The 10,441-nt window shown below is 43.1% G+C and overlaps 1 long non-coding RNA gene across 1 annotated transcript; it reads left to right on the top strand.

The window, feature by feature from the left end:
- Window positions 1-219: 219 nt before the first annotated feature.
- Window positions 220-5,822, top strand: LOC107984706 (uncharacterized). The gene is made up of 2 exons (XR_001750874.2): window positions 220-3,432; window positions 3,660-5,822. It is a non-coding gene; the product is annotated as an uncharacterized LOC107984706 (long non-coding RNA).
- Window positions 5,823-10,441: the final 4,619 nt, after the last annotated feature.

The raw sequence follows: 10,441 nt of genomic DNA, 5'->3' as shown, positions 1-10,441 counted from the left end.
TCTCTGGCGTTCATCAATGGAGAATTACAGCCTCTTGCTTGGCCTGCTACCTGTCTCCCCACCTCTTGGGTACCATGTCCTTTCTCATAAGAACTGGATCCATCATTCCAGGGTCATTGCTGGTCTAAGCTCCTGGTCATGTCTACTTGCCTGATCCTGTTAGAGTTAATACTACTATTCATAATTGTTCAAAACAGCAACAACAAAAACAAAACACAACGGACTATTCTATCATACTGCTTTTTTAGAAGGCATTTTGGCTCTCATCTTTCCATTAATTTGATTTTGAGTGGAAAAAATATTAGGTATTCCAGGAGAAATAAAGTGAAATAATTTGGTTTTAGGTGGGTTAGCTGTAGTGCAAATATTCAAAATTGTAATTCCAGTTCGAACAGCATGAGCTTTGAACTACAGCAGAGCCTAGTTCCAGTCTCAACTCTTCTACATTCTAAATGTGTGAAGGATGAGAAAGTGATTAAACCTCTCTGAGCTTCAGTTTTCTATCTGGAAATGGAAGATGGCAACACATACTGGAAGAGTCTCTGTGAGGGCTTCTGATCCTTAGGTTTGCGTCGGTCACTGAGCACTTTTGTGGCCAATCCAGCCTCATGGACAGTTGCAGCATTGGCATCAGTGCTAGAAAATTATGACCCTACCCTTAATCTTGGTGTGAACTTAGACAAGAGAGTTATACTCTATGAGCCTCAGTTTCTCTCCTTGAAAAAAAATAGAGAAACACATATTTATTCCTTGGGGCTGTTCCATCAAAGGAGATAATGCATTTAAAGTGCCTGGCATATGCCAGAACTCAATAAATATTCATCTCTTCTCACCCTCCTTCTCCTCCCTAATGCCATCTTGGATTTCATCACGAGGCGTCTGACCAGGCGACGAAGGTCACAGAGGAGACACAGGCAGTGTGGAGCCACACTTCTCCAGGCTTTTTTGAAAATGATTGAAAGTTAAACTGGGCCAGGAGTCTGGTGACGTTTGGGTGAGAGACAGAGTTAAATTAAGGTTTAATCTTAGCCCTTTCCATGTGTTAACAGGCTGCGCAGAGAGAAGAGTTTGAAAGAGATTCAATGCTGAATTTTCTCACTAATCTGAGGAGAAGAGAGACATGGAAAGAAAGAACATGAGAGAGAGGGAGAATCAGAGTTCATATGGCTAATTTTCTAGCCAGCAGCTACTGGAACGTTTCCATTAAGAGATATGAGAAGAGACAAAGAGAAGTAATAACTGAAGATGGCTTTCTTGGCCAGAAAATAAGTTGTTCTGCCGAGATGGAGGGCAGTGGGTGAGAGCGCAGATGAAGTAGGTGCCCGGGGGACACATTTCATTTTAATGTCATCTCTTTAGTACCTCTCTATCTGCACATTCAATTAACATCGGAGGGAAAAAATAAGAAGTTCCTCCCATGTCAGCCTGCTTGGGGAACAGAACTGGGGAGACACAGTGACCTCACATGTTCTTCTCAGAGAGTGCTTTCCATCTCTGAGTTGGCCTTCAACGTTCAAGAAAATGGATATATTATTTTTTTTCCTTTTCTATTTCCTTCAGGAAAGACTAGGTTTCAGTACGGTTTCAAATAAAAGCAGTGGAGTAATTTTCTCTCCCGTAGGTTCTCCCTCAGCCCCCTGAATCATAAGAATCAACCCTCATTCCTTTTCTCCCAACCTCTCAGGTGCATTTGCTGAGTCACTGCATGTTGGCCTGAAACAGGGTCCATGTGTCTCCCCACCATTTCCAAGGCATGGAGATGGGAAGTGGGAAGTGGGGAGGGTGAGCTTTGGACTGAACACCCAAGGCCCACGGCCACCAGCTACGAGGCTTCCCACAGGCTTGTCTTTCTCTGTATGTCTGTCACAGGATTCCAGTTCTCCAGTCAAACCAATGATGCTTCTTTGGCCCTGTGCTCCCTGAAGTCCTCCCTTTATATCATAAGTAACCAAGGAGTCCTTCATGCCTGATTTTTGAATGCTAGTAAATTTTCAACATCCTCATCCAACTCTATTCCCCAGGCTTCCCTGCTCCAAACTCCAAATCACCTGAAAAATATGTTCCAGTCACCCCACCTCTGCACCAACTTGAGTGAGTCTGAACTGAGAAGCATTCATTCCAATTTGTCATATTTGTGGAGGATTTTTCTTAAATGGTCACAATATTTCTAGTTCCATGGGCTCTTCCAAGGCTTTGTCACTTCCCATCCAGAGGCAGTTTCTGTGTTCTTCCCCTTGAACGTGGGAGGCATTTGTGACGGCTGCCTTGACCAACAGGGTGGAAGAGACACTGCATGACCTCTGAGTGAGTAAAGGCCAGGCAGCCCTTGCTTGACTCTCTTCCTTGAGATGTCATCCTTAGAACCTCCATGTTGTGAGAAAGCTCAGGCCACTGGGAAGAACACGTGGGTGTTCCCATTGTTGACAGCCTACAGACAATATCAAACACCAGACATGTGAATGAATGAGCCTCCAGGTAGGTCCAGCCATTGAGCCAGCCCTCAGTCAACTGTACCAGCTGTGACCCCAGACATATTGGGGTAGAGACAATTATAATATCTCTACTCTGCCTTGTTCCTGTTGCTGACCCACAATCTGTGAGTCTACTGCTGGTCATGAAAAAAAACAAATTGAACTTTCATTCATTCATTCATTCATTCATTCATCTATCCACCTACTCATCCATCCACCAAAGACACACTTACTGATATCCCACTGTGTATCATAGACTATAAGCATGGGGGCTGCAGAGATAAAGAAAGAAGTGAAGGTCCTGAGGAGCTCACAGACATACTACTCATTCTGCTGTTGACCCATCACCCCAAGTAACAAAAGAGCACCCCTACTAATATCCTGCTTCAGATTTTCACAGTCGCTCATTTATGCTTGCATTTCTGCTTTGCCATTCCAACTAAGTGCCTTTAGAATAAGGGATCAACTTTTTTTCTCATGGTGCTTAGCACGGTTTTATAAATTTAACACATGTTTGATATAGCTTGTTAATTTTTGAAAAATCAGTCCATATACTGCTAGAGGTTTTCAAGGCTTCAAGTAAATAAAAGAATTACATTTTGGAAAAATAACTTAATAAATGAAATCCTTGTGCCAATAGGAGAAAAAGAAGAAAGGTATGAATGATTTTTGGGTCCTTATTAGATGACTGGGGCCTGCTATTTCATTTACTCTTCATAGGAAACTTATACAAATTATGACAATCCTCAAATTGCAGACTTTAAGATAAACTGGCTAAATTGAATGACTATCAAATGTGGCACAAGGAGTTTAGCCAATGCCAGGGACTCTTTTGCAGCCACTGTGGTGACTCCAGCACATGAAGATGCCACCCAGATGACATTTGCTTTCAAGACCTTTGAACAGGCTGCCTTGAAAAGAATGCTTTCCAATGTGCAACTCTATATCTTCTGTGGCTCTGGTAAGTGAGGACTTTACAGCTTATGTTCACTCTTTCCTGTAATCATTTCCAGGCCTCGTGGAAAAGTGTTACCAATTAATACTCCCATTATAGAACTGGAACAAAACAAAGTGCAGGACGTGGGACAAATCAGTTAAATATCCTCGAGAAGCCTTAAAAATGGAAATGAAAACTATCATGTTTATCACAAAAACCTCACTTTAATTTTCTTTGTACTTTGTGAACAGGCGTTTTGTGAAGCATTGCTAAACCTAGTGCAGTAAACACCGAAATGCAGCTGAGGAGTAAGGAATCATCTTTGCATGAAAAGCGAAAACCTTCTCTTGTCCTGCTGGTTTGCTCTGTGGGCAGAAGTGAGGGGGCTGAGAGGTGGGAGGCCTGGACCCAATGCTCCTATGCTGTATTGCTCGGGGTGACCTCGACATCCAAAGACTTCATTTTTAAGAACAATCCATCTGTGGTGAGGCTGTGGGTGGTAGTCTCTAAAAAGATGATGTAACTCCTTATTAAAAGAAACTGTGGTGTTGGGAATTATTCTTCGGAGAGCGGGACTTCTTGCAAGAAATTCCAAGAACCCCAGAAGCTTCTGGATAGCATATGTGGGTCGATGGATGAAGACATACTCTCTCCTCTGACAAAATCTTTCTGTCTTGCATCTAGGGAGCTGTGTAATTGAAATCAGAATTCAGAAAGTGACCGTCGTGATGTCGTTTACCCACATCTTTCATCATGAGAAAACTAGAGGCACTGGAGGGAGGAAGTCACTTGCCCAGAGTGGCCCAGTGGTTAAGGATGGTTGTGATGAGCTGTGAATGGCTCTGTGGAGCCAGCACAGTGCGTCTGGAGGCTGGTTCTGCACACCTTGGCCTGGTCCACTCACCTCACCCATGCTCAGTCCTGTTCTCTGCCTTCCTGGCTTCTGACCTTATCGTGGATTTTTTGGTCCAGGCCTCACTCCTCCTATAGGGTTTCACCACTGTTTCTCCTCTTAGCAACATCTTCCCCCAGAATAGGGCCAGGCGTGTAAACACAAAAATATGCCAGGTAAAAAAATCCCACAGAAACTGGGCAGGTCATCAAGTGAGAGGATCACTTAAATTCTAATGTGTAGACCGTCCTGGCTGAAGCAATATGTCTGCCAGTTGGAACTGGCTGGAGCTTGCTGTAAACAGCAGACTTGAAAACCAGCATGGCCCAGACTACGAACTAGGTTTGATGTTTTGTTTGACAGGCAGGTCTAGATGACCACTGAAATATCATCATCTCCTCGAACACTTTTTTCTTCTGAAAATCATTTAAAGTTTTTACCATGTAAAGTGGTAGCTCAGTCCCTGTTTTCCAAGATTGAGCCATCCTCCTTTCCTTTGTGTATCCCCACTGCCATATTGCCATAAAAATAATAAGAATGAATAACATTAACAACAACAAATGTCATTGCTGGATGTTCACATGTCAGGTAAGATGCTAGGTGTGTTTTTATTTATTTATTTTTTATCTTTTTGAGAAGGAGTTTCATTCTTGTTGCCCAGGCTGGAGAGCAATGGCATGATCTCGGCGGCTCACTGCAACCATGCCTCCTGAGTAGCTGGGATTACAGGCATGCACTACCATGCCTGGATAATTTTATATTTTTAGTAAAGACGGGGTTTCTCCATGTTCCTCAGGCTGGTCTCGAACTCCCGACCTCAGGTGATCCACCAGCTTCGGCCCCCCAAAGTGATGGGATTACAGGCGTGAGCTACTGCACCCGGCCCGCGTGATTTGTTTAAGAGCTAATTCTATCTTATGAAATGAAATCTCTTCTTTATTCCATTTTACAGATTAGGAAACTAAGGCAGAGCTGTTAAATAACTTACTCAAGGTCTAGGAAATGGCATTGCTAAGGCTCATTCCCATGCGTGTCTTATTCTAGAGTTCGTGTTCCTCATTACTGGGCATCTCGCTCCATCAGCCATCAGCAGCTCTGTGAAGACCTCCAGAACTCTTTTCTAACTTAATTATTTAGGATTCTTCTCTACTGCTTGACCCATGAGTTTTTAAAAGACAAGCACAAAGGGCTTCACACATTATAAGGACTCAATAAACATGTATGCATGGGTCAGTGATGCCCCTGCAAAGCTTTGAAACTTAGAATTGTGTGTTGACATCATCATAGATCATCGCGTTGCTAATGGAACTAACACAGGGCCTTGCATGAAGGGAACACGTGGAAGAGTATTTTTTTTTTACTTGTTTTGTTTTTAATTCACAATTGTCCCCTTTAAATCATGATGATGTGGTCACTGCATTTTGCTGCATAAAGGGCTTTTCCTAAAATGGGACCCTTCGTTCTGGTCTCTTCCAATTATAACCTAACTTGATGTGAATAAAATCAAGACTTTGCTGCCTAACATGATCATGATCTCATCTTGGCGAGTATCCATCAATGCCTGACTACATACGACAATGACAGAGATGAGGTACTCATATGTCCCCTTCAGACCAGGGAGGGCAATGCCCACAGGGGGCTTTGGAATAATTCCTGAGATTATCAGGAGTACTCAGAGGGTTGTCAGGAGGGAAAGAATAGCGGAAATCTGGATTTCTCTTGGGGGATCTGGTGAGGAAGAGGGGACCCTGATCTAGATAATGTAACACCTTGTCAATAACGAAGAAAACTTGAGATCTTCGCATGCAGCTATCCTCAAAATTATTTCTCACACTGTGAATTTCACACGATGCTCTGAAATAATGGGAATCTATAATCGAATAATTAGGAAACACATATCCCATACTGGAAATGTCACAATGCACATTTGCACTTAAAAAGCTCTGAAAAATACAGTAAAGAAATCTACTCAACTGTAACCCAGTATGTTATAGTTTTCTTTGGCCACTTTGGTAGGAATTATTAGTCACCAGTAAGTAACCATTCTCTTCAAATTTCCTCGTAATAGAACTCTGATTTTGTTCACATTGGCAATACTCCTGGCTAAGTTAAATTTTCCAGCACTTCTTACAGCTGGATGTGGTTATGTGACTACATTCTGGTCCATGAGATTAAAACAGAAGTGTCCTAAGGGACATCAGGAGAGACTACTTAAAAAGAGCTCTTTATTTAGAAGTTTCTTCCTGTCTACCATGCTTTATGCGTCCTCATTTTTTTTGCTTCTGGGAATGTGGATGTGATGGCTGGAGCTCTGGCAACCATCTTGAAGTACAAAGTATCTTGAGGATGAAAGTCATTGCTAAGGATAGTGGAGATGGAAGATAGAGGATCTGGGTTCGTTGGTATGCCAGCCAAAGACTGCTTACCTCTCTACTCATTTATCTATTTGTTTAGAGATGGGGTCTGTATTAGTCTGTGTTTATGTTGCTGATAAAGAAATACCTGAGACTGGGCAATTTACAAAAGAAAGAGGTTTAAATGAACTTACATTTCCATGTGGCTTGGGGGGATGCACAATCATAGTGGAAGGCAAGGAGGAGCAAGTAATGTCTTACACGGATGGCAGCAGGCAAAAAAAAAAGAGCATTGCAGGGGAACTCTTCTTTTTAAAATGATCAGATCTCGTGAGAACCATTCACTATCATGAGAACAGCATGGGAAAGACCAACCCCCATGATTCAATCATCTCCCACCAGGTCCCTCTCACAACATGTGGGAATTATGGGGGCTACAAGATGCGATTTGGGTGGGGACATGGAGCCAAACCATATCAGGGTCTTACCCTCTTGCTCAGGCTGGAATGCAGTGGCACTATCATTGCTTACTGCAGCTCCGAACTCCTGGGCTCAAGAAACCCTCCCACCTCAGCCTCCTGAGTAGCTAGGACTACAAGCACATGCCATCACAGTTAGCTAATTGTTTTAACATTTTTTTTGTTGTAGAGATGGGGTCTCACTATGTTGACTAGACTGGTCTCAAACTTTGGCTTCAAGCAATCCTCCTGCCTTGACCTCCCAAAGTGTTGGGATTACAGGAGTGAGTCACCATCCTGGCCACTACTTCTTTTATTTGAAAAAAGGAACTTCTATCTTGCTTAACCTACTGTCACTTCTGGCCTTTTTTTGGTGGTACTGAGACACAACTCCTGATATAATTAATCATTGAACCCTTTTACCACAGTATTGTTACTAACATCCTTTGGAACACATTCTGGAAAACAGAAATCTGAGCCAATCTTCAATGCCTACCTCTGCAGGAAAAAAAGCTGAGGCTCAGGAAATGGCAGTGATAGCTCAGTGGTCACACAGCTGTCTGGCTGTACAACTGGGTTTTGGCTGAAGTGGCCTGAAAATTGGTATCTTGCTCTTACTGCACTTCATGCAAATTTGCCAGATCAATTCTGAAATCATTTTAGATCAGCAGTATAAATGAGCAAGTGCATGAATTGTAGATCTTTGAGCACCTCAGAGAGAAATTCAGTGAAAGAAAGCTGTCTTGGGTGACCTTGTAATGGAATGTTTGCCACTGGGCATTTGGGGGAACTTGAAATCTCCCTGTCACTAAGGCATGAGGGAAAGTCTCTCTAAGAGGAGTCAATGTGGTTGCCAGCCAGAATGATACTTTTGTCTTCTGTCCTTTCAAACCCAAATAAATCAGAAAGGCTTTTAAATCCATCCTGCAAGAATGCCGCTGCGGATTGTTCAGGGTGGTCTATCAACTTGTCTCAGAGTCTGCAGACTGATTAAAACACCTAAAGGAACCTGCAAGTCGCAACAGAGGCAAATATGTGGCCCTTGTTTAATGATGGCTCGCAAATGAATAAATACACTTTTTAAAACTTATTGCTACCTGCTCCTCGCTTCTCCTGCCCCTGACGATTATGTGTGTGCACCTGCATGCGTGTGCGAGACACACACACGTGGAGAACTCTGCCTGGCCGAAATGGAAACAGGAAAAGTGGAAGCTGCATCGTTAATTACTCCCCCACTGTTAGAAAGATTTTTAAATTATGATATTGTTACCTGAGGCCTTGATGACAGACTTCTTCAGTTTTCCTCCATCTGGCTCACATCCAAGGCTTCTTTCCTTCCTTCTTTCTTTTGAATTCTGGAATGCAGACAGCAAAATTTTCCATCAGTAAACGAATGTGTCTAAACTCCAATTATCATACCGTGCCACAAAAAGGGGCCCTTCCCCATCAATTCACTGCACTTTTAAGCAATGAAATTGTGGGACCTTGTGGTATTCGTAGACTGTGTCGTCCAGGATTTTCTAGGCATTTTAGTGCTCTGCCCTGATACATCCCCAGTCACACTCACTTTCAAGGGATTGTTAAAGCTCGTGATGGCATTTCTTATTTAAATCCCATAGGTTGTCACTTTTTCACTGAGGAACATAGGATGGTTTCATGGCCTTTTTTCTTTCCTCTTATGTAAGTCAAAGTTAACTATCACAGCAAACCACCCACAAGGCTCAGAAGTTTAACCAACCAAAGTGGGCCTCATGCCCTGGTTTCTCACAGTCCAGTGATGTCAATGGGATGCAACTCTTTGCTGGAGGCCAGGATTTGACCACCCTGCAACCCAAGTGCCTCATTCAGCCTGTCACCTGTTTTCCCAAAGAAACTTTTATTTGGAACACAGACACGCCATTCATTCACACTTTGTCTATGGTTGCTTTTATGCTACCATGGTAGAGGTGAGTAGCTGTGACAGAGGCCCTGCATGGCCTCAAAGCTTAGAAGGTTTACTTTCTAGTTCTTCACAGAAAACGTCTGCTGACCCTTGCCCTCGGCAGGCACCCAGGGATGCTGTCCCCTTCTGACTGGTTCCACTCTCCTCTCTGTGCCTGGTCTCCCCATTCTCCTGATGGGTGTTGAGGCAGCAAATGGCTCACATGTGAAAATCTTTTTTATGGGCTGGGCAAGGAAGTGTTGCAGGAAGTTTCTGCTCATCTTCTATTGGCCAGGACTCAGTCACATGGCCACACTGATCTCTCAGGGATGCTGGAAAAGGAGTCTATATTTGCGCCCAGGATGAAGGGGAACCAGTATCAGTGAGCACCCAATCTCTGTCCCACTTTCCTCTGTGGACTTAAACAGTTGTATCCTGGCGGTCATGATTCCCACAGGCTCTGCCGCCATCATACCTCTCAAGTCCTTCCTGTGTCACTCGCCACTCGGCCACTGCCCTGGTTCAGGTCTTGGTATTTTTCACTTCTGTTATTGGAACTGCTTCCTCTCTGCATTAATGGCTTGCCTGTCTTGCTCTGCTGGATCAATCCTGTAATCACATGCCTTTTTGCTGAAATGATCTCAGATGCTCTTTGGATGGGCAGCCAGTTCCTCCCAGATCTGACCAAAAGCCCTGATTTCAGCATGATATCCTTTCATGCATAACCCCAGTCCATTTCACCCCACTAAATGGACTTTTTTGTTTTCACTCTTTTGCCCACATCCACTTTGTGGCTTTATGCTTCCATTGTTCCCTTGGTCTAATAAGTCCTCATCTCCTCACACCTCTTACAACTAATCCATTTTAACATTTTCAGATAGTACCTACCTTCCCTTTCCAGTAAACTGTAGACATCACAGGTAAGCAAGAACTAGGTCACTTTTATCCATCCACACTTTCCCTAGAGCTAGCAGATTCCCCAGCACATGAGATGATCAACATTGTTTTAAATGAATTAGTGAATAAATAAATACCTGTTGGATTCCATACACACTTGCATACCCAATGAACTGCCATCTTTCCTTCCTCCGGACTCTGAACTGTATTATTTTTAAGTAACTTATCCCTCTTTATTTTGTATCAGCTATATGTGTGCATTTTGTATTGTCTTTACAAGGCTGCACAATTCTCATGGATGAGAGAACCACCATCATGACCTCTAGCCCATGGTAGATGCTCAGTGAATGCATGAGCAATAAATAAATGGATGAATGAATGGTACACAGTTATTTTTTGGTGAATCTGGCCCCATACGCATACTCTAAGCCTCGTATTACATCCTTCAGGTGGGGAAAGACAGTGAAGATATTAATGTTAGAATGAGAAATGCCTTTTTCTCTTAAAAAGG

This window comes from Homo sapiens, chromosome 14 (genome assembly GCF_000001405.40).
Source record: "Homo sapiens chromosome 14, GRCh38.p14 Primary Assembly".
NCBI lineage: Eukaryota > Metazoa > Chordata > Mammalia > Primates > Hominidae > Homo > Homo sapiens.
This window is presented reverse-complemented; position numbering and strand designations above follow the sequence as displayed.